Source organism: Homo sapiens, chromosome 1, assembly GCF_000001405.40.
Source record: "Homo sapiens chromosome 1, GRCh38.p14 Primary Assembly".
NCBI classification, from domain to species: Eukaryota; Metazoa; Chordata; class Mammalia; order Primates; family Hominidae; genus Homo; species Homo sapiens.
In genome coordinates, this window is record NC_000001.11 from 94,935,251 (window position 1) to 94,959,639 (window position 24,389).

Genomic DNA, 24,389 nt, shown 5'->3' on the forward strand with positions numbered 1-24,389 from the left:
TCTTCACTGCATCATTCCCTAGGATCTTATATTGAATCTGGCATAAAGTAGATGGTCAACAATTGCTTGCCTGATGAATAATATGATGAGCACTTAGTCATTTTTACAAATCTTATCCCATTTAATATTCAAAATTACAATTAGAAGGAAATATTATTGTCCTCATTTTTTTTTTTAGAGGAAGAAACCGAGGCTTAGAGAGGTTAGTGACTTGTTTAAGGTCACAAAGCACTAAGATCAGAACTAGAGCTTAGGTTTTTTTTTTCTGCTTCTGAAACCTATGTTTTTCTTGGCACATTAAGTCATTATAATCTATAGTTTCCTCAGACAGGAAGTGTAAAGAACACAGAAAAGCAAGAATTAAATTCTGGGGTGGCTCAGAAATTTGGAGAAAAAGAAAAAGCAAGTAAAATCACAAACAAGTACAAAGAATACTAAAATGAACTCAGCAAACAAGGAAGAAGAAAGTTTTAAGGAAAAAGCTGAACAAACATACAACGTAAATGCAGAAAGGAAAAGAGCCTTTTATTTTTTCAGTATGGTCCTTCTCATGGAGAAGCCTCAAGCCACAGCTCCAGTAGAAATCACATTCTGGGGTAAGGAAGGGAAGAGTCAGTGAAGAAATGGAGGGAGCAGATTTAGAAAACCGTGTTTAAGGCCAGGTGGCAGTGGCTCATCTCTGAAATCCCAGCATTTCGGGAAGCCAAGGCAGGTGGATCACTTGAGCCCAGGAGTTTGAGACCCACCTGGGCAACATGGTGAAACCCCATCTCTACTAAAAATACAAAAATTAGCCAGGCATGGTGATGTGTGCCTGTAGTCCCGAGGATTGCTTGAGCCAAAGATGTCAAGGCTGATTGAGCAGTGATCCTGCCACTGCACTCCAGCCTGGGCGATGGAGTGAGATCCTGTCTCAAAAAACTAGAAAGAAAGAAACCAGTGGAAGGAAGCTGAGAAGGGGGCAGTCCTTAACAAGTAGATAGCTGGGTTGAGAGAAGCAAAAGCGAATTTATAGGGTTTCTAAAGGCAGGGGCCAGGAAAGCTGAAGAGGTGAGAGTTCTGGGGGTGGAAGGGGCTGGCAGGAGCTGAGGGAGTGAAGTGCTCATTCTGGACATGAGGAAGGAAGACAGACCACCTCTCCCTTTGAAACTCCTCCTGCCACTTTCTCTTTCTCATGATAGCTGTCCTTCCTCTCCTCATTCCCATATTCATTTATTCTCACTCTCTCTCTCTTTCTCTGTGTGTGTGTGTGTACGTTGTTTCTTCTCTCTCCTTGCCTTATTCCTGCTTGAAACAATTGGGAATACCTCACTAATTTTATCTATTGTCGTTCAGGTTCAAAGACATTGCTGATTCTCTAAATTTGGTGTTAACAATAAAACACAGTGTTTTGACAGCAGCCACAGGACTTGGCAGTCCCAAAAGGGAATTCTGGAAGAGAGGAGAGGCCTCAGTCAGGGTTGTCTTTTTCTGGAGTTCATAACCTTCACAAGACTTTTATGCAATTATTTTTGTGTGTGTATGTACTCACCTACATTTTTAGGGAATAGGATTCTACTACATTTATTTATTGTCAAAGGGAAGGAGGATCAGAAAGGTTCCAGGCCCCACTGCCTTTTATAATACCTCTATCAAATACAGGTGCTCAGTTTTAGCTTCTTTATGATAATTTGTGTTCTTGATTTCGATAAGGATACAGCTTAAAAGCTTTTATTCGTAAGAAGTAGGGTTAACATCAAGAATCTCAACTCAGCAATCTTTTGAAATGCAGAATGACTCACATTCCAGTGTCACATTCCAGTCTTTGTTGCTTATCAAAAACCTTAGATAATTTAAGATGGTATCAAAATACTAATGCAGTTTAATTCCTTTGTAAACAGTGTTCACTCTGAAACGTCCCTATTGAAATGCAATTCCTTTCACTAGTTGAGGCAGTGGGAATAAAGTGTATTAATGGTCTAAATTTCATCACGTAGCACTGTTCTGACAAAGAAAATTATTTGCAGATTATGCTGAAAGTTGCTTAGCACCTGTTTCTTAAAATAAATGTGTTTACTTTTTGGTAGTGAAGACGCTTGGAAAATAGGCATTTATTTCCATAGTATTAAAAGCATTGGCCAACTGTAATGGTTCCCAGGGGGAGGATCACTTGTGGTCAGGAATTCAAGACCAATCTGGGCAACATAGCAAGACCCCATCTCTACAAAAAATTTAAAAATTAGCCACACAGTTACAGTGAGCTATGATCATGCCATTTCACTCCAGCCTGGGCAATAGAACAAGACTCTGTCTCTATAAATAAATAAATAAATACACTAATATAGTAAGCAGAAAACTCAAGTAACATAATTTTTTTGTTAAGTTCCCATTAGATGACTCACTTCAGGAGGGCAGGAACCATTCTGTTCGACATTGTATTCCCCACACTTTATACATAGTAATCATTCAATAAATGTTTATCTTGTTAAAATAATTAATTGGGAAGCATTCTGCTGAGACTGTACCAGTGCCTCAGGTTCCAACACAAGCAAACTAAAACCCAACTCAATGTAAGCACTAAAATGAAACAAACTTAACCAGTTAGAAATGACCAACTAACTTCTAGATGAGGCCAAAGGGACTTTTCACCTTAACCTAATTTTTTTTTTTTTTTTGGCCTTGCTTTCACAAACACCTTATAAATGTTTCACCTCATGCTCCCTGGGTGGAATGCTAAACCCCTTGCCGCCTGGTACTGCCCAATTCATGAATTGCTCTCTCCCCAAATAAACTCTGTAACATTTTCATGTGCCTAAGTATATCTTTTAACAATCTAATCAATGAATATAAAATAACAAGTTGATAACAATATCATATCATGCTCTAAAGCATCTTCAGAGGTATATCATTTGGTGAACTTTATTTCATGAAATTGACTCATTAACTGTTTGTTGAGAGCCAGTCCTGCATAGGGCTCTTCCAGGCCCTGGGAATACAATCGTAAATGAGAGGGTTAAGATCCTTCCTTAGGAGCTTTTGGTCTAGTAGGGGATGGGTTACAGGCCATAGTCAAGCAATAGCATAAGGAAGATTATTTCAGGGAGTCAAGAGCACTGTGAAGATAGTGAATGGATACTATGCCGGGGAGTGTGTGTGCTGCTTGAGAGAGGGTGTCTGGGGAGGAGGTGATGTTCAAGCAGAGATGTGAATGTTGAGAGGATAAGGGAGAAATGCATTGCTGGCAGAGGGTGTCGTCAGGGCAAGTGTATTGAGAGAATCAGCTTGAAACAGAAAGAAACAGAAGTGGCTGGGGGCATTGAGCAAGTGGGAGAAGGATGAAGTGGGAAGGGTAGGCAGAGATCAGATGAAGCAGGGTTTTGAAGGCTATGAGGATTTTGGCCTGAAAGGAGGAACAATGAGGATCTGTGATCCTGAAAAACCCATCTGTCTTTATTTTCTGAATTAAAGGTTAAAATAAGACCAGATTAGTTAAGTATTGAGGTGATTTAGAAATAGAAATTCTTGAATGGTGCATCTAATAACTCACCTGAAAAATAAAATTAGGTAGGTGGGCACATTTTCCAGCCATTTTAGATAAATAAGCACTGATTATAATACTTGCTCAACTGAGAGCTTTATGATTCAGAGAAGGAATGTGGTCAACATAATAGGAAAGAATTTTTCCATTCTTTTTTGTGTATTTAGAATTGGCCACTATACTAGTTTCCATTTCTTTCTCCAACTTTGCATTCTAAATAGTTTGGATCATGATCACAAATTAAAATAAATATATATATATATATATATATATATATATATATATATATATATATATTTTAGCCTCACCTAAAAGTTTTTTTCTTTCAAAAATATTTTTAGAGAAACTGCTTTGTAAACTGATTTGAGCAATTTTTGCTTTCAGTTCTCAGCTTGAAGAGGATATGGGTGTGATTTATAGGCATTATTCCAAATGCCAAAAAAAAAAAATCATTTTCAGCTGTTAAAATTTTCCTTTGAATTGCCTGGTTTTACTGTTGTCTTACCAGAAATGCTGTGGTCTGACTGTGTCTTCCAAAATTCATGTTGAAACTTAATCTCCAATGCAATAGTATTAAGAGCTGGGGGTCTTTAGGAGGTGATTAGGCCATGAAGGCTTCTCTCTCATGAATAGGATTGAGGCCCTTATAAAAGTGGCTTCACACAGAGTTCAGCCCCTTTTGCTCTTCTGCTTTTCTGTCATGTAAGAACACAGCAACAAGCTGCCATCTTGGAAGCAGAGAACAGCCTTCACCAGATATATACTGAGCCCCCCGGCAACTTGATCTTGGAGTCCCAGCCTCCAGAACTGTGAGAAATAAATTCCTATTGTTTATAAATTACCCAGTCTCAGATATTTTGTTATTGTAGCATAAATGGACTAAAACAAGGAAAAAAAGAAACAGGAAAAAAAAAACTTCAAGAAACTTAGCTACTTAATTATTTTCAGAAAGTATAATGGTTTTATATATACAGTTGATTCTTGAACAACATGGGTTTTTTAACTGCATGCATCCACTTACACATGTGGATTTTCTTCTGCCTCTGCCACTCTTGAGACAGCAAGACCAACTCCCCTTCTTCCACCTTCCCAACCTACTCAATGTGAAGATGATGAAGATGAAGACCTTTGTCATGATCCACATCCACTTAATAAATGGTAAATATATTTTCTCTTCCTTATAATTTTCTTAAGGACATTTTCTGTTATTTAGCTTTCTTTATTATAAGAATATAGTATATAATGTACATCGCATACAGAATATATATTAATTGACTACATTGTTGGTAAGAACTTCAGGTCAACACTAGGCTATTAGTAGTTAAGGTTTTGGGGAGTCCAAAGTGATGCATGGATTTTCAACTGCACAGGGGGTTCACACTCCAAATCCCCATGTTGTTCATGGATCAATTGTACATATGATTTATTTCCCTCTGACATCGTGTTCTCTGGAACATATTCTTAATGAAAGTTTTGAAATACAGTAGGCAGTACAGGGTAGAAGTTAAGAAAACAGCCTTGAGTTTGTCTGCTGTGGACCTTAGGTAGATTATTTACATGATCTTTGTAAGCTTCAGCTGTTTCATTTGTAAAATAAGGTTGTGTGGGATTTAAATGATAATATGTTATTATTTCTAAATATATCTTCCCAAGGTGAAATTAAACTTGCTTTAAAAAAAACTGTGAGCTAACTACACGTATTTTCTTCATATTTTATCCAGTCTGTAGTATTCTGTTATAGCAACAGAAAGATGAAGTTTACTGCCGGGAGCAGTGGCTCATGCCTGTAATCCCCAAACTTTGGGAGGGCGAGGCAGGCGGATCACTTGAGATCAGGAGTTCAAGATCAGTCTGGCCAACAGGGTGAAACCCTGTCTCCATTAACAATACAAAAAAAAAAGTAGCCAGGTGTGGTGGCACACACCTAGAACCCCAGCTACTCGGGAGGCTGAGGCATGAGAATCTCTTGAACCCAGGAGGCGGAGGTTGCAGTGAGGCAAGATCGTGTCATTGCACTCTCCAGCCTGGGTGATGACGTGAGACACTGTCTCCAAAAAAAGAAAAAGACTAATTTTAGTTAGCTCATGGTTCTAGAAGCTGAGAAGTCCAAGAGGATGGTGCTGGCATCTGGTGAGAATCTTTTTGCTGTGTCATAACATGGCAGAGGGCATCACATGGCAAGAGAGCAAGAACATGCATGTCAGCTCACATCTCTCTTCCTCTTCTTGTAAAACCACTAGTCCCATCATAGAGGCCACACCCTGATAACTTTAATCCAAATTACCTCCCAAAGGCCCCTACCTTCATCAACATATACATTGGGGAATTAAGTTCCCAACATGAAATTTGGGGGACACATTCAAACCATAGCACTAACACTAACTCTCAGTTATTTATCTTATACCCCAGTTATTTGTGTATTCTTATCTTGGCATGTATGAGTTAAACCACCGTTAGTTATTATCACATGATTAACTTTGGTAATAACCGCTCTTTTTTCATGGGTGCTATTCCCATCTTTAAATCTTCTTTTCTTTTTTTTTTTTTTGAGACGGGGTCTCACTCTGTCACTCAGGTTGGAGTGCTTTGGCACAGTCTCAGCTCACTATAACCTCTGCCTCCCAGGCTCAAGTGATTCTCCCACCTCAGCCTCCCAAGTAGCTGGGACCACAGGTGTGTGCCACCACACCTGGCTAATTTTTTGTATTTTTGGTAGAGATGAGGTTTCACCATGTTGCCCAGGCTGGTCTCAAACTCCTGAGTTCAGGCAATCCACCTGCCTTGGCCTCCCAGTGTGCTGGGATTACAGGCATGAGCCACTGCATCTGGCCTTACACCTTTTGTTCTTCTTCTTTTTCAGAGACAGGGTCTTGCTCTGTTACTCAGGCTGGGGTGCAGTGACTCAATCAGAGCTCACTGTAACCTCAAACTTCTGGGCTCTAGCAATCCTCCTTTCTCAGCCTCTTGAGTAGCTGGGACTACAGGCATGTACCACCATGCCCAGCTAATTTCTTTTTTTCTTTTTTCTTTTTTTTTTTTTTGAGACAGAGTCTTACTCTGTCACCCAGGCTGGAGAGCAGTGGTGCGATCTCAGCTCACTGCCACCTCCACCTCCCAGGTTCAAGCGATTCTCCTGCCTCAGCCTCCTGAGTAGCTGGGACTACTGGTGTGTACCACCATGCCCGACTAATTTTTATATTTTTATAAAGATTAGGTCTCTATATTTTTGTAGAGACAGGGTCTTGCTATGTTACCCAGGATGTTCTCTAACTCCTGGTCTCAAGTGATCATTTTGCCTCGGCCTCCCAAAGTGCTGGGATTACAGGCATGAGCCACCACACCTGGCTGCATAGTATCTTAAATCCATGGGATAGGGATTATATCTTATATCTGTTCCTTACTTGTTCCTAACTGAGTTCTGAATACAAAGCAGGTGTCCATTTATTATTTATAAGTTAAGATTACAATGTTACCTCCTGAGGACTGCTGAGTCATTTATACAACCATCCAAAAGACTGGTTAATACGTAACTTAAAAAGTTGCTGGCTCCTTCAGATGTAAGCCAAAAATACAGTTCTAGTCTGCGTCAGCCCACAAAGGATGAACAAAGGTTGGCAAGTGCTGCTCTTAAAATGCACACATCTTTTTATCCAATTTAGTCATTCAACAAATATCTGTTGAGTGTCTACTGTGTACCAGGTTCTGTCCTAGACTCTGAAGAGACAGCAGCGAGACAGACAAAGTCCATGCCTTGAAAGTCATGATTTTCTCTGCTTGAGTTTTATCATCTGAACTAATTCAGAAAAAGTCAAAACGATTGTTCTTAGGTCTTTTACTTAACCAGAACCACACGGGCCCAAGGACAGCTGCACAATCAGCCTTGCCTTTCTATTACGGAACATACCTGTGCTTCCAGAATAAACTCCAAACATCTAACTGTACAAAGTCTTCTTCACATAGAATGTCTCACTGACAACTAGGTTGGCAAAAAGGGCTCTCAAATTCCATGTTCTAGTCAGTGGCCTGCTTTTAGTAATTCAGTAAAGCAGCTGTATCCAGAAAACCTTTTTTTCTATGGTCCTCTTTCTGTCTTACTGTCTTACCTGGCTCCCTCTCACCGAGCTGATCAGTCATCTTCTCCAGGAAGCCTCCTTTGTCCTGCTACTCCGTCTGGGTAAATACACACTTCTGGGTTCCCATGACTTTTAGTTTTTAATCTATATAATAGAATTTAATGCCCTGTATTACAATTGACTGTGTATGCTCCTTAGATTTAAAGACTAATTCTTTTATTACTGTGATGACTGTAATAAAAGAAAAAAAGTAAGAAGAAAGGGAGGGTGTGTGGTGACATTGATAAGAATTCTCTCCAGAGCCCATTTTTTAGAGTCAGATCCATTTGTGTCAAACCCAGCAACACCAATTATTAGTTGTGAAGCTTTGAGCACGTTACTTATCTCAGTTGGGTCTCTTGACCCTGGCACTAATCATTTGCTTAATGAAAGAATAGTAATCATTATTAGAGGCTTGATTAATTATGATAGCATGACTCTGTGCAGGCACTGTTTTCAGCACTTTTTACAAATTTCCCTATAACCTAACATAACCCTGTGAGGTGAGTAATGTTATATCCCTTCCATAGATAAAAATGAATAAACTGTGGCCCAGAGAGGGTGACCTGCCCAGGTTAGTCAGAGGGGTTCCAGGGTCCATTCACTTAACTATTACACTCTAGTTGCTGGCTGCAAGGGAGAATAGGGGAAGAGAGACAAGGATGAGCTCAAAGAACCCCCTGCTTCCATCAAGAAAAGCGTCCTTCGCCACTCTCATTTCATTTACTGGGAATTATCCTGCCAATACCCCAGAAGTGCCGGTCTTCAGTCTAACATTCCTTCTGTTATGGTCTGAATGTTTGTGTCCCCTCAAAATTCTCATTGAAATTTAATACCGAAGGTGATGATATTGGGAAGAGGGGTCTTTGGGGGGTGATTAGGTCACGCAGATGGTGCCCTGTGAATGGGATTAGTGCCTTATAAGAAGAGGTAAGAGAGCTAGCCTGCCCTCTTTACTCCGTAAGAGGATACGAGAAAAAGTTGGCAGTCTGCAACAAGGGAAAAAAAACCTTCATCAGACACAGGATCTGCCAGTCCTCGATCTTGGACTGCGCAGCCTCCAGAACTATGAGAAGTAGATGTTTGTTGTATGAGCTTCTCAGTCTATGGTAATTTGTTAGTGATGTCCATGCTAACTAAGACAGAAATTGGTACTGAGAAGTAGAGTGCTCCTTTAACAAATACCTAAAAATGTCAAAGCAGCTTTGGAATTAGAAGTTTCAAAGTGCATGCTAGAAGAAGCTGAGATTGTCATGATGGGATGTTTAAAGTCAATTCTGGTGAAGGCTCAAAATAGTAAGAGAAGAGCTCTAGAGGAAGCTTTTATATTCTTAGATAATATATAAGTAATCATGGACAGAATGTTGGTAGAAATAAGAATGATAAAGGCCATTTTGATGAGGTTTCAGATAGAAATGAGGAGCACATTATCAGACAATGGCCAAAAGGTGATCCTTATTATAAAATGGCAAAGAATTTGGTTGAGTTGTGTTCATGTTCTAGTGTTTTGTGGAAGGTAGAATTTGTGAGTGGTAAAATGGATATTTAGCTGAAGAGGCATCTAAGTAAAGTGTTGAAGAAGTGGCTTGGTTCCTCCTAACTGCTAACAGTGAAATGTGAGAAGAGAGAATGACTTAAAGATGGAATTTTTAAGCAAAAGGAACTGGAACATAATTATCTGAAAAATTCTCAACCTATCTGTATTGCAAAAAAAATATGAAAAGCACGTTTGGAAGAGGACACTCAGGGTGTGTGGCCAAGAAACCATTCAATAAGGAGATTAGGTGTGAACCATGAATTTACTCAGCTCCCCACAGATAAACTGACAGTTTAACTTGAAGGGGAAGGAGAGGGAAGGAATGAAGGAAGGATGTCAGAAGTCTTGGATTTTGCAGGACAGTACCTTAGAGCTATTTGGCTGCAAATGTGCACTATTCTCCAAGACAAGGGAAGAATGACCATGAAAGCGATTCACAGATCATCAGGGCTGCCTCCTTAGTTTTGAAATGAGGAGCTGTCGCCTTGTTTTCAACAGGTCAGATGATCCTCACTCAAAGCTGTGCAGGCTTGACTCCAACCTAGCAAGACCTTTGGGGGCAGGACCCCTGCCTGTCAGAGCCACAGGATAGGGACTGCAGCCTCAGTGGGTGTGGAAGGTGAGACTGCCACACAGCGGGTCCCAAAGGCAGGACCGTTTCTCCAGCAGGCCTGGAGGGCAGAGTGCAGAGCTAGGAGACTTAGGAACCCATGGAGTTTGCCTTGCTAGATTTGGGCTTATTTGGGACCCGTCACACCTTCCTTCTTCCCTATTTTTATCTTTTGGAATAGGAATATCTACCCTATGCTTGTTCCACCATTGTATTTTGGAAGTACATAACTTGTTTGGTTTTATAAGTTCACAGCTGGAGAGGAAATTTGCCTCAGTATGAATTATATGTGGAGTCTTACCCATATCTGATTTAGATAATACTTCAATGAGACTTCAGACTTTAGATTTTGGAGTTGATGCCAGAATGAGTTAAAAATTGGTGGTGAGGCTGGGGAGCTGTTGGAATGGAATGACCAAGTGTATTTTGCATTTGAGAAGGACATAAGTTTTCAGGACCATGAGCAGAATGTGACAGACTAAATTTTTGTGTCCTCCAGAAATTCATATGTTGAAATCTAATCCCCAGTATGGTGGTATTTGGAGGTGGGACCTTATTAGGTCATGAGTATGGAGCCCTCATTAATGAATGGGATTAGTGCCCTTATAAGAAGAGATCAGAGAGCTAGCTTGCTCTCTCTACTCCATGTGAGGATACAAAAATAAGTCATCAGTCTGCGAGCCAGAAAGAGGGTCCTCACCAGAACCCAACCATCCTAAGCTTGAACTTTCAGCCTCTAGAACTGTGAGAAATAAATTTCTGTTGCTTATAAGCACCCAGTCTATGTTATTTTGTTAAAACAGGAAGGTGACGAAGACACCTTCCTTTTTTCTCAAACTCTCTCCTAGCTACTAAACAGATCTCATATAAACACACTAATTATGTCTGTTTTGCGGATCTAGCAGGAAAACACAGCTCCGAATACTAAAGAGCCTTTCTTCTTTATTTGTGACTGTCATCTTCTCTGACAGACCAAGCAGCTTTGGAAGATCTGTGTGGGAAAACAAGGTCACCACCTAGCCAGCCAGTCTATCTTCACACTCACAGGAGACTTTATTAATTGACAGAGAGATGTCAGTTTCTCTTCCAATTTCTGAAATTTCCTTTTCACTCACTATTCCATTTAATGCATAGGCTTGGCTTTTACACATTATACATAATTTCCTTCTAAAATAATTACACAAATACCTCTAAGAATGGTGGGTCTCAATATAGAAGCATGGTCAATAAAGTAGATGACCCTCCGCTGAAAATGACCCCCCGCTGAAAATGACCCCCCAACTTTACCCCCACCCACAGTAGCCCCCGTAGCTAGGCTTGTATTCTTTTACCCTCCCCTCTAAGTTTAGCTGATTAGAAGTCTGAAGATGCCCCAATCGATCCTCTTACCTGGGTATTTGAAGTTGAATTTCTTGTTTGGTCACTTAAACTGAGGTCTTATAAATTTAGAGCAATCTTATACGTAGAAAAACAGAGAAAGCAGGTTTAAAAGTTAGGTTGCAGGTTCTGGCTTCCTCAATAAAATCCCAATATAATACTAGCTCAAATGAGATCTATGTTTCCCTCTTATATAAGAGTCTGAGGCTAAGCAGTTGGGTCAGGGCTAATAATCACATTAGCTCCATGGAGTTGGGGACCCAGGCTCCTTTCACCTTGTTGCTCTGCCATTCTCCACCTGTAATTCTATTGCTAGGTTAAAGACAATTACTTCAACTCCTGCCATCTTATTCACACCCAGGCAGCAAGGAGGGAAAAAGAGGAAAGGAGGCGCCCATTCCTTTCTATTTAAGAGTGTAACCTGGAAGTTGTACATATCATTTCTGCCCATATCACATTGGCTAAAGCCTAGTAAATGCCTACAATTAACAGCAAGGGAAGCTTGGAAGTGCATCTGTCAGCTGAGTGGCCAAGTGTTCAGCTAAAACTCTCTTTTCAGAGAAAAAGGGGAACAGTGACATCATAGGTACAACAAGCAGCCTCTGCTCATCTCCACAGATAAAACTGATCTCCAGGAAGTGAGCACGAAGTTGAGGCTCAGAATAAAAGCAGCTGTGAGAGACTTGGGGCCTCCAAGAGACAAGGAGAGCAACACTGGTTCCTGTTAGCATCCAGTTCTTGGGTTTTATCCCTCATTGAGACGCAGAAGCTTTCCTTCCCTTGTGTATAATAAATTCCTGGCTTTGCATAAGCCAGCCCAAGTGGCCTTCTGTTCCCTGATACCAAAACGTCTTGTCTAATACAAACTCATTATATGCTCCTGGAGGGCAAGGGTCACATTTTACTTTTTTATTCCCGACCCAGGGTTTAGGTAGTACCAATGCTCAGTAAATAAATACTGATTTGACTTAATGTATTGCCTCCTTCTGCAGCTGGATGCATTTGCTATCTGTCTCCATCATTTTTTGCCAGTTATAGAATGTAGGCCTCCAAATTCCCTCAAAAAAACAGAGAAGGTGGAGTCATGAGGAGATCAAGAAATGTCTTAATTTGAGAACTGAAGAGGAAAATACTAACAGTTTTGGCACAGCTCTTCCCTGAAATCTGTCAGCACTAAGGGAAGGGCCAGCAGCAATAATACAGCAGCAGTCTTCATGGCACTGTCAGGCAAATCAGGAGGGCTACAAGGGCCTGCTTCTCTCCCCTGTGTGGACAAATGCTTGTGGCTGTGAGTTAAATACCAACGCAATCAGCTCACTCTCAAATGAAACTGCTCTGGCCCAGACTTGGAGAACAGTCTTGCATGAAACTTTTTTTTCCAGTGTTTTAAATTTAACCAGCTGGAAAGAAGTATCATTTTATTAAATCTTTTTGGCCGGGCATGGTGGCTCACGCCTGTAATCCCAGCACTTTGGGAGGCCAAGGCAGGCAGATCACCTGAACTCAGGAGTTCAAGACCAGGCTGGCCAACATGGCAAAACCCCGTCTCTACCAAAAATACAAAAATTAGCCAGGCGTGGTGGTGTGCACCTGTAATCCCAGCTACTCAGGAGACTGAGGCAGGGAGAATTGCTTGAAACCAGGAGTCAGGGGTTGCAGTGAGCTAAGATTGCGCCACTGTGCCTGGGTGACAGAGCAAGACTCTGTCTCAAAAAAAAAAAAATCTTTATAAAATGAAAGATTTGCTTTTTTTTTTTTTTTCTAGACGGAGGCTCGCTCTGTTGCCCATGCTGGAGTGCAGTGGCACGATCTCGGCTCACTGCAAGCTCTGCCTCTCAGGTTCATGCCATTCTCCTGCCTCAGCCTCCCAAGTAGCTGGGACTACAGGTGCCCGCCACCACACCCGACTTATTTTTTGTATTTTTAGTAGAGACGGGGTTTTACCATGTTAGCCAGGATGGTCTCGATCTTCTGACCTCATGATCCGCCCACCTCGGCCTCCCAAAGTGCAGGGATTACAGGCGTGAGCCACCAAGCCCAGCCTGAAAGATTTGCTTTTTTAATGGGAAATCTGCATTCTATCAAAGGGATAAAAAATAATGCTCGACTAGTTCATTTGATACAAAGGCCAGCACAACACTACCCAAATACATGCTTTTGTTGATCATCTTTGACAGAAAATAAAGCACGGGGTTTTGAGAGGTTTGCCTAACAAGGGCTTTTAAGCTGCATTCTGTGGTATCATAATAAAAACTGCAGGGTTCATGTTAAACCAAATAATTTTACATGTCAGCCTGGCATGTAGAAGGTATTCAGTTAGTTCTTGCTGAATAAGTATATTTCAAACTGTTGCTGAAAGAATAGTCTAGAAACATCTATATGTGATACATTCACATTTGACTCTCAAACCATACAGAATTCGTTAGTGAATACCAAAATTAGCTTCACAGACACTGGGAAGGAAATCAAGACTATTGGGGAGGGAACGGGGTAGAAAGGGAGGTGTGTGGAGTAGGAGTGGGACCCAGGGAGCTTTTAGTGTACAATGACCGAAAAATTGTAAATTACCGCATTGCTGCCTTCTGCTTTATACCAAGTTTGTCCAACCCGCAGCCTGCGGGCTGCATGCAGCCTAGGATGGCTTTGAATGTGGCCCCACACATATTTGTAAAGTTTCATAAAACATTATGAGATTTATGCTTGGGCCTTTTTTTTTTTCTCATCTTATGTCATTAGTGTTAGTGTATTTTATGTGTGGCCCGAGACAATTCTTCTTCCAATGTGGCCAAAGGAAGCCAAAAAGATTGGACACCCCTGCTCTATACATTACAGTGTATAATTTTATTTTATTTTATTTTATTTATTTATTTTTTTGAGATGAGTTTCACTCTTGTTGCCCAGGCTGGAGTGCAATGGTGCAATCTCAGCTCACTGCAACATCCGCCTCCTGGGGTCAAGCGATTCTCCTGCCTCAGCCTCCCGAGTAGCTGGGATTACAGGCATGTGCCACCATGCCCAACTAATTTTGTATTTTTAGTAGAGACAGGGTTTCTCCATGTTGGTCAGGCTGGTCTCGAACTCTCAACCTTAGGTGATCCGCCCGCCTTGGCCTCCCAAAGTGTTGGGATTACAAGTGTGAGCCACCGTGCCTGGCCTACAGTGTATAATTTTTACAGCACTAAAGACTCTTAACATTTTTATAATTTTAAAGAAGGGTCACTGAAGACACAATGCTGCTTGGAGCGTTTTTATCCCTTATTCATTTAAGAACACTTTTTCAAATTGTATGTTTCTGAGTCATTTTTTTAAAATGATATGTTTGTTTACCTACATTAAATTAGATGATGCTGTGATACCACTCTTTCCCAAATAAATGTGTTTCCTTTAGAGATAACTAGTTCAGCCCATCCCCGGGTTCAATGAGTCACTAAGAGGACTCATAGGACTCAGCCTACTATCATGTAACACTAATGGCTATGATTTATTTCAGCAAAAAGATAACAAGCAGAATCAGCAAAGAGAAAAGGCATCTGGGGTGAAGTCTGGGGAAAACCAGGCACAAGCTTCTAAGGCTCCTCTGTCAGTAAAATCACAAAGGATAAATTAACCCCCCAGCAGCAAGTTCTGTATGTGAAAACAGGTGTGAAATGTTGCCAACCAAGGGAGCTCATTAGAGACTCGGTGCCCCACGTTTTTACTGGAGCCTGGTCATGTAGGCAGCCCCAACCTGGCACATATGGAAATACTGGCTTCCCAGAAGAAAGCAGGTGTTCAGCACAAACCACATTGTTTGCACAAACAGTCTGGCACAATGAACCACTCTTATCAGTTAATGGTGGGAACCCTTGCAAAATCTCAGTTCTCTCCCACATACCAGCCAAGGGCCAACCTTGCAAGCCTGCCTTTTCACAGGCAGTAGTTCGGGCCTGTTATGTTAATTATTTTCTGCACAATATCATCAACAGAGTGTCAATAATCATGATAGTGACATTTACAAGTTTGATGGGGTTCTTTTTGCCCCCAAAGCTGATGTCTAGTCCCTTTCTTTATCATGAAATTAACATTTATGGAGCCCTTATCACATGCCAGGCACATGGTTTAAATCTTTTAATATTTACAGTAAATGGGTCCTGTTTTTGTCACAGTTGTACAGATGAGAACATTTAGATCATATCATTTAGAACATATCATTAGACTTGCCCAAAGTCTCACAACTAATATTTGTAGTGCTGGGATTGGACCAGGAGGGCCTAACTCTGGAATAGGCACTGGGGAAGTTCTCAACAGTTTCACCACACACCTTCCCTTTCTTTTCTTTCGTTTCTTTTTTCTTTTTTTAATATGGTCATCAAAAATAATTACACATTCACACACACACACACACACACACACACACGCACACACCTATATCTCCCCATACTGTATGGACAGAACACAAATACAACCAGGTATATAACCTGGTGCAGACTGGCCTTCCAATATGTGTTGAGATGAATGAATAATGAAGCACAACATCTGAATGTCTAGCATTTAAGTACCGCATCCTTAAAATATCAACATCATGTCAACTCCTGAAACTCAGTAGAAGGACCCTAATGAAAGAAAACCTAGACAAGCCTCACCAATAAGTGCTTTAGTTACCTGTCCATTTGGACCTGTTTTTTGTTTTGTTTTGTTTTGTTTTGTTTTTTATCTTTTGAAGTTGAGAAGATTGAATGTCACATTTGAAATAATGCACATATTCATCACCAACAAGTTTTTTGAGTCCTTAAAATGTGCAGTGCACAGAATTACTGCCCTTTTTTCAGAGATGTGTCATCAGCAGCTCTGCTGGAACTACCCTAGAAAATTTGGCCACGGTTCTTGCTCTTGCTGTGTCTGGTCAAACCAGCAGGTTTGATCTGGGACTATAACTTCAATATGTGCCACCTGTGTTTCCATCAGAATGGAAGGGATTATAGCCCTCATCAAGTTGGACTAAGTGGTCTTCCCTGAATGGATTATCCAAGACAGCGCTCAATGAAAGAAACCACTGCTAGCTCTCTGCACATAAAATAAAATTTTTTTAAACTTCAAAAAAATTAAAATAAAAGCCAAGAGCCATAAACAATTGAAAGCATCTGATGCCTGCCTGGTGTTCCCGGTTCCTGCTGGAGCTCAGCTTCAGCCCAGGTGAGACCAGACGCTGTTGTCATACAACAGGCTTAGCCAAACATGTGGATTTGATTTGTCAGAAAGTTAAATTGGGGACTCTAGTGCCTTTTGAAAGACGTAATCTGCTCCAGAGACCTTGCAAAGGGCATGGCTGACCTTGCATCTGTTGTGAAACTGGTAATACCCTCAAGGCAGGGAGGAAAGCAAGTTTTGACAGAGCAGAATTGAGAAGCATGAAGCTGCCAGGAAAGCAGAGGCAGCATAAAGTAAGATGATAATGATAACTGATTTCTTCTTTGCAATTGATTCTTTCAGGATGCTATCCCAAGGTAATAATAAGACCTAATGTATACGATGCTTTACTGGTTTTTTTCAAAGGGCTGTCACATGTATGATCTCACATCCTCTTCACAGCAGCCTGGAAAGGAGGCCAGATCTGCATTATTACGCCCATTTTGCAGATGTGACATAGGCATAAGGATAATGTGACTTTTCCAATATCTTGGAACTAGTGACTTGTCTTTTAATCTTGGTCAGTGCTGCTCAGTCTTCAATGTCCAGACAAACCACTTCAGGATCAGCAGGTTCAGTAGGCCTGGGGTGGGCTCAAGAGTCTTCATTTCTAACAAGCTCCCAGCTCATACAATAAGAAATCAGAATGCAGAATGCATTACTTTTAAATTGGTTATTTGTTCTTATTCTGAAATAAAGCCTTCATTCACAAAAAGCATAAAATTGCACAGATGCTTAAAAATATTATTATAGTCCATATACCGTATGACCTACTACCTGGGTAAGAATTTGAACATGACCTGAAGGCTTCTCCCTCATGGCACCTCACCCCCATTAGCCCTCTCTCTCCTCCCAGGAGAAAACACTGTCTTGGCTTTTGTAATAATTATTTTCTAGCTTTTCTCTAGGAAATGGATGTTTTGAAGAGTTTTTTTGTTGTCGTTTCCCTGGTCCCTGATACTTTGAAATCACCAGTATTTCACACATGATAAAGGTACACAGGCCAAAGAAGTAGATCTTATCTTTTGAAATCTTTAGTAGGAAAATCCCCTAGAGGAGTCCAACTGGGGCTTGCTCTGCAAAAGTGTTCATAAAGAGACGGTATCACCTGCACAAAATACTAACTTTAGGACTGGGGTGTCGTGGGAAAAAAATGGACCCTGGCTCCTTGCTACTATATCAAGTCAATATTTAACAAATCAGTTAGAGACATTCAGAGTCTAATTCTGATGGCGGGACAGATAAGAAATGTCAGTATCCAGAGGAGATAATGAAACAGATGAGGAGGACTTTGCTAAATGTTCCATCTGCCTTAGGTAGTCTCGCTTACAGTGTTTCCTATTCCTTTCATTTGACGAAATCATCAAGCCTAATTTTCAAGAAAACAAAATTTCCTAAAACAACTGCCTGTAAATATTATCTTTCCTTTGTTCAGCCCCCAGGCTGATTAAAAGTTGGACTGGCAGCACATTCAAAGGGGCAAGAACATAAGAGCTGCCAGTGGTTGTATTTAGTACCAGGTGTCTAGGAAGTCTTGATGTAACAAACAGAAGGATGGAAATTTCTCAGATAGCTTCTGACTAGGCCTGGGAACTTAACAGAGAAGAAGGCCAAAAAAGGCTCCTGCTTCTCTAGAAACTGACCCTCCCTCAGGCAGTCTCTACTATGTGTGTATCAGTTAACTATTGCTGTGTAACAAATCATCCCAAAATGTAGTAGTTTAAAACAACCACCACCATTTCTCATGATTCCTTGGTTTGGCTGGGAGATTATGGTGCTGGTCTTCCCTGGACATACTTTGGCTGAGGGCCAGCTGGGCTAGAAGGACTAACATGGTTTCATGCACAGAGCTGACAGTTGGTGCTGGCTGTTGTCTTGGATACCTCAGATTTCCTCTTTTTTTTTTTTTTTTTTTTTTTTTTTTTGAGATGGAATCTCGCTGTATCGCCCAGAATGAAGTGCAGTGGTGCAATCTCGGCTCACTGCAAGCTCCGCCTCCTGGGTTCACACCATTCTCCTGCCTCAGCCTCCCAAGTAGCTGGGACTACAGGCGCCTGCCACCAAGCCCGACTAATCTTTTGTATTTTTAATAGAGACAGGGTTTCACCATGTTAGCCAGGATGGTCTTGATCTCCTGACCTTGAGATCTGTGCACCTTGACCTCCCAAAGTGCTGGGATTATAGGCGTGAGCCACCACGCCTGGCCGGATTTCCTCATTCTTAAATGTTAGACCCAGGGATGCTAAATATTCAAGATTTTAATGAGCCTCGGTTATTAAACCACTGGTAGCTTGAAATCAGCCATGGTGGGAATACTTTTACCACAAAAACATAAGCAAATGCTGTAAATCAAGTCTCTTTCTGTGGAATGCTGGTTTACCGGAACACTACTGCCTACATCTGTGTGTGCCTTGTAGAGCCCTTGCACCACGTGGCTGCTCAGTATGTCTGTTAAATTGAATCCTCAGTTAAGAGACAGAGAGTTGTAAACAATGCTGCAGTCTTAGTGTCAAAAAATATCCAAAAACTTATAAAATTAGGGAACTAGATCCAAGATAGCTGAGTTTCTTTTGGGGATATGCAGTGATCACCACACACACACACACACACACACACACACACACACACACACACACTGTCTCTCTCTCTCTCCCCCACTCTCTCTCTTTCTTTCTCCCTACATATTGTAAACAGCATCAGCAGCTCTGTTCATTTAAACTGTTAACAGTTTTTGGATGGGGAGTTTCTGACTCTGGCATAAGTGTGTAATTATACACTTATATCCTGAAATATAAATGTAATCATCTAGTTTCCCACAGGACAGGAGTCCATAAAGCTACACTGATGTGTCTGAGAGAGATATGAAGGTGAAGAAGAGATAGGACAGTCAAGAGGCATGCCTCGCCGTGTATCTTTATTTCTGTCCTCACTGTGTTGTCTGTGTTCTGGCATATTTTGACTTGCGCCTTTCTATGGCTGCCTCTGCACATATCTCCGTCTCTTCTGCTGTTGACTAGAGTGGGTAGTTTGTCTAGTTTTCTCTGAATTTGTTTGGGTCCCCCTCAGATCTCTATCCTGGTGAAAGAGGAGTATGCATAGCAAGTTTGGTTAGTTGCCTTTTCTGCATAGATTGCTATGTTTCTTGGCTAAGCATTCCCCCGGGCCTTGGAAAGCACTGACCCCTGCATTTCCAGGACTTGTTTGCATCCGGAAAATGACTAATTAGGTCCTTGGGACTTCCTTACATTCCTATCCCAGGTATCTTCTTTGCTTCTTCCACTGCCTTTTTTTTTTCTTTTTCCTTTTTTGACTGGCCAGAGAAAAGTAAAGAACAAAAGTAAAGCTCATAAACATAGACTATCCACTTTTACTTGTGTTGCAAAACAGTCTCCTGTGCTGCTGGCTTTCCTTCCTTTGCCCAGTCTTAAATGTTAGCGCTCCCCAAGGTTTTGTCTTTTGACCTTTGACTTCTGCCTCCTCTCACTTACTGGGTGGTCCTGGGTGATTTAATCCACTCCCTATTACTGAAACTGATGGCCCAAGCCAGACAGCCCCAGAGCCATGTATTCACTTACCTACTGGACATCTCTAATGGAATATCCCATATGTTCTCAATGCTTACATTCTGATCGACGCTTATTGCCTATTTCCTTAAACCTCAGCTTACAGGAGACATTCTAGACATCTTCTCCCTCATCTTCAGACCCATCCTATTGAGTCTACCTGTTTCAGTTATCCATTGCTGTATAAAAAACTACCCTAGGCCAGGCGCGGTGGCTCACACCTGTAATCCCAACACTTTGGGAGGCCAAGGTGGGTGGATCATTTGAGGTCAGGAGTTCAAAACCAGCCTGGCCAACATGGTGAAACCACATCTCTACTAAAAATATGAAAAGTAGCTGGGCGGTAGTGGCACACACCTGTAATCCCAACTACTCAGGAGGCTGAGGCAGGAAATTCGCTTGAGCCTGGGAGGCGAAGGTTGTAGTGAGCCAAGATCATGCCACTGCACGCTAGTCTGGGCAACAGAGTGAGACCCTGTCTCAAATAAATAAATAAATAAATACAAATACAAATAAAAAACTACCCTAAAACTTAGTGGCTTAGAACGATTTATTATTTCTCATGATGCCATGGGTTGCCTGGGTATTCCTCTGTTGGTTTCCCCTGGGCTCCTTCATGTGTCTGCGTAAGTTAGTGACAGCTGGGCTGGAAGGCTTAAGAGGGCCTCCCTCACACGTCTGACAGTTGACGTTGGGGAATGGTTGCTGGCTAGAGAGCCTCAGTTCTTCTCCATGTGGCCTCTCATCTTCCACTAGGCCAGACTGCCTTCCTTGCATTGGAGTCTCAGGGCAGCTTTCCAAATGAACAAAGGCAGAAGCTGCCAGGCCTGTTAGGCCTAAGCTTCAGGACGCTTAGGTCATGTCTGCTGCATTGTATTTGTCAAAACAAGTCACAAGTCCAGCCCAGATCCAAGAGGGTGGAAAAACGAACTCCACTCCTCCAAGGGAGAAGCAGCAAGGTCACACTGCAAAGGAGCATACAAACTGGGATGGGAGGAATTTATGAGCATAAAACAAACTAGCACACTAACATATGAAGGCCTGTGGAATTTGTTCTCTGTCAAGGTCTGTCCCAATCTGACCTGTGTTTTAGGATGATAACTCTGGTGATTTGTGGATATGAGTTAAAAAGGTCAGAGATTAGAAATAGGAAGCCCAGCAGGGAGTACATTTCAGTAGGCTAGGCAAGAAGGAAGAGGGCATTGTTCATAGGCTAGGGATGGGGAGTGCATATGGAGAAATGGACATGAGATATTTCTGAAGTAGAATTAGAGAGAGGCCAGTGTTTACTATATGCTCTGTACCAGCATAGGTGATATAGGGAGATGTGAGTAAGATATTAGTAAGAGCCAGCCAACAAATAGATACTCAAATATTTGGTTAATGAGGAACTTAAAATCTTTTTTGGAAAAAAGGAAAACCTAACAACAACAAAAAAAGATTCTAGTGAACTACACGTTTACTTCATCTGATTACAGAACCTCTCTTTCTCGTTTTTTTATTTTTTTGAGAAGCAGTCTTGCTTTGCTGCCCAGGCTGGAGTGCAGTGGCACGATCTCAGCTCACTGCAACCTCTGCCTCCTGGGTTCAAGTGATTCTTGTGCCTCAGCCTCCTGAGTAGCTGGGACTACAGGCATGCACAACCGTGCTTGGCTAATTTTTGTATTTTTAGTAGAGACAGGGTTTCAACATGTTGGCCAGGCTGGTCTCGAACTCCTGACCTCAAGTGATCTGCCCACCTTGGCCTCCCAAAGTGCTGGGATTATAGGAGTGAGCCACAGCACCCGGCCACTTTCCCTCTTCTGAACACACATTATACTTACCATCTGTCCTGTTCTCTGCACATGTAATAACATACTGCCTTCTACTGTTTTGTTTTGTTTTTTTGAGACAGAGTCTCTCTCTGTTGCTCAGGCTGGAGTGCAGTGGCGCAACCCTTGGCTCACTGTAGCCTCAACCTCCTGGCTCAGGCCATCCTCTTTTCTCAGCCACCTGAGTAGCTTGGGTTCCAGATGTGCTCCACCACACCTGGCTAATGTTTTGTAGAGACAGGGTCTCGCTTTGTTGCCCAGTCTTGTCTTGAACCCCTGAGCTCAAGCAATCCTCCCACCTTGGCCTCCTAAATTGCTGTGAGTAGAGACATGAGCCACTGTGCTGGCCTTCTATTATTATTTAACCTTTTTATTTTTGTTAACCTTATTTTTCTTGCTAGATTTTAGATCTGTGAAAGGTCTAATGATGTGAGGCCACTCAGGAAATGCACAGAATAAGCTCTGTGCCGTATTAGAAGGAAACAAATTGGATGGGGACTCTTGTCAGAGAAAACACCAAAGAGATTAGAGTTGCAGTGGAATAATTCTTAAAAACACACGTAAGACAGCAAGTGTTCACCAAGAAGACTGGTGGCTACCAAATGCTTGCTCCCTTTTCCGTAGCAGAAAGTTGTTGTTGGGAAGTGGCTCTGCAGTCAAGGGCCATCTTCCCCAGCCCCACCATTCCTCTCCATGGAGTCATGTGATTCATTCTCAGCAAAGGAAAGTGAGTGGGAATAGTGGAGGCCACATCTGGGCCACCATGGTTAAAACGCAGATTTGTCTTCTCTATTCTCACTTTCCTTTCTGCCAGCTGGACATAGAGGATGCAGAGGGCCTGGAGGATAATGGATCATGGGTGAAAGAAGTTTGGGTGTCTGAATTACTGCATGGTGGAAAAACTCCCCCCAACAGGGAACTCTGGCTTTGGGCTGCTCTTTGAGAGAGACATAAATTCATTGTGTTCAGCCACTGAAATGTGGGAGGATTATTTGTTACAGCAGTGTATTAGTCAGGGTTCTCCAGACAGATAGGACCAATTGGTTATGTATACGTATAGAAAGAGATTCGTTGAGATTTATTGTAAGGGATTGGCTCATACAATTATGAAGGCTGGCAAGTTCAAAATCTGCAAGGTAATTAGCCAGGCATAGTGGCATGTGCCTGTAGTCCCAGCTACTTGAGAGGCTGCGGCAGGAGGATCACTTGATCCCAGGAGGTCAAGGCAGCTGTGATCATGCCACTGGACTTCAGCCTGGATGACAGAGTGAGATTCTGTCTCAACAATCAAACAAACAAACAAAAATTTGCAAGGTAGGCCAGCAGGCTGAAGACCCAGGGAGGGCTGATATACAGTTCAAGTCCAAAGACCATGTGCTAGTAGAATTTCCTCTTGCTAGGGGAGGTGAGACCTTTGTTCTATTCACCCCTTCCACTGATTAGATGAGACCCACCCACACCATGGCAGGCAATCTACTTTACTCAAAGTTGACAGATTTAAATTCTAATCTAATTCAAAAGCACCATCACAAAAACATCCAGAATAATGTTTCACCACTATCTGGGCACCGTGGCCCAGCCAATTAACCACCCCAAGCAGCTAACACTTCCTTTATTTGCACCAAGATGTGTTGCGACTAGTAGCCAACTCATGCAGAAATGTCATATTTCTCACTCCTCTGTCTTCACTTAGAGGCTGTTCCTACCCTGGTAAAGAAAGGCACATTATTTTCAAGGTATAGTGAATACCTCAAACTTTCCACCACGATATAATGACTTGTTTGCAAAAGCCCTGGAGAACAGAGCATAATCATGACATTGCAATCCATTATGTCTGCATAGGAAAGGATATGGTCACCTGGGTTTTATTAAACAATTTCTGTCTCTGCCTAGAATCAGAATCAGGCACAGCGAAGATTACCACCAAGGAGCCTGCCCCACGTTTCCATTTTCAACAGAAATAAATGATGGGTTATTCTTGTAGTTGAGTGCCCTTTAGAGTGAGGTCGCCTGACTTCTGTTGTGTTCACTGTTGTGCCTCTCATGTCTTGATTCTTATGATGAAGTTTATAAGCAGGGTAGAACAACAGGACTGAAAAGAGGATAGATATAAACCAGTACCTTAGGGAACAACTAGTAAAATTAGCTTCCTTACCTTTGGCAGCAAAAATGGGCACTCAAAAGCTAAGCATCTCCCCTGCCCCTTGCCATGTTTTATAAGAAGTGGAGGGGAATTAGTATTATTTCTTGGCTCTAACAATAAAACTAAAAAGTTTACTACAACCAGCATTCTGATCAATGCCCTGTAATAATCTAGGTAACTTACTACCCTCTTTATGAAGCCTACCCTTACCACTCTAGAACTCTTTATTTCTTTTCTTTTCTTTTCTTTTTTGAGATGGAGTCTTGCTCTGTCACCCAGGCTAGAGTGCAATGGCACAATTTCAGCTCACTGCAACCTCCGCCTCCCAGGTTCAAGTGATTCTCCTGCCTCAGCCTCCTGAGTAGCTGGGATTACAGGCACCTGCTACCACGCCCGGCTAATTTTTGTATTTTTAGTACAGACAGGGTTTCACCATGTTGGTCAGGCTGGTCTCGAACTCCTGACCTCAGGTGATCCAGCCTCCTCAGTCCCCAAAGTGTTGGGATTACAGGCTTGAGCTACCATGCCCGGCCAGGACTCTATTTCACAGGCA

General features: G+C 41.9%; 1 long non-coding RNA gene across 3 annotated transcripts in view, besides 3 other annotated features; it reads left to right on the top strand.

Moving 5' to 3' along the window:
* Positions 1-24,389, top strand: part of CNN3-DT (CNN3 divergent transcript) — a 36,911-nt gene that overhangs the window by 8,891 nt on the left and 3,631 nt on the right. The window lies entirely within an intron of this gene.
* Positions 350-1,204: an enhancer, noted in NCBI's record as "H3K27ac-H3K4me1 hESC enhancer chr1:95401156-95402010 (GRCh37/hg19 assembly coordinates)". NCBI's record gives its function as "activates a minimal SCP1, AML or CMV promoter by ChIP-STARR-seq in naive H9 embryonic stem cells {active_cell/tissue: H9 hESC(naive)}" and the evidence as "EXISTENCE:reporter gene assay evidence [ECO:0000049][PMID:30033119]".
* Positions 1,205-2,059: an enhancer, noted in NCBI's record as "OCT4-NANOG-H3K27ac-H3K4me1 hESC enhancer chr1:95402011-95402865 (GRCh37/hg19 assembly coordinates)". NCBI's record gives its function as "activates a minimal SCP1, AML or CMV promoter by ChIP-STARR-seq in primed H9 embryonic stem cells {active_cell/tissue: H9 hESC(primed)}" and the evidence as "EXISTENCE:reporter gene assay evidence [ECO:0000049][PMID:30033119]".
* Positions 1,603-1,897: a silencer, noted in NCBI's record as "tiled region #980; K562 Repressive non-DNase unmatched - State 22:ReprW". NCBI's record gives its function as "represses a minimal TATA promoter and a strong SV40 promoter by Sharpr-MPRA in K562 cells {active_cell/tissue: K562}" and the evidence as "EXISTENCE:reporter gene assay evidence [ECO:0000049][PMID:27701403]".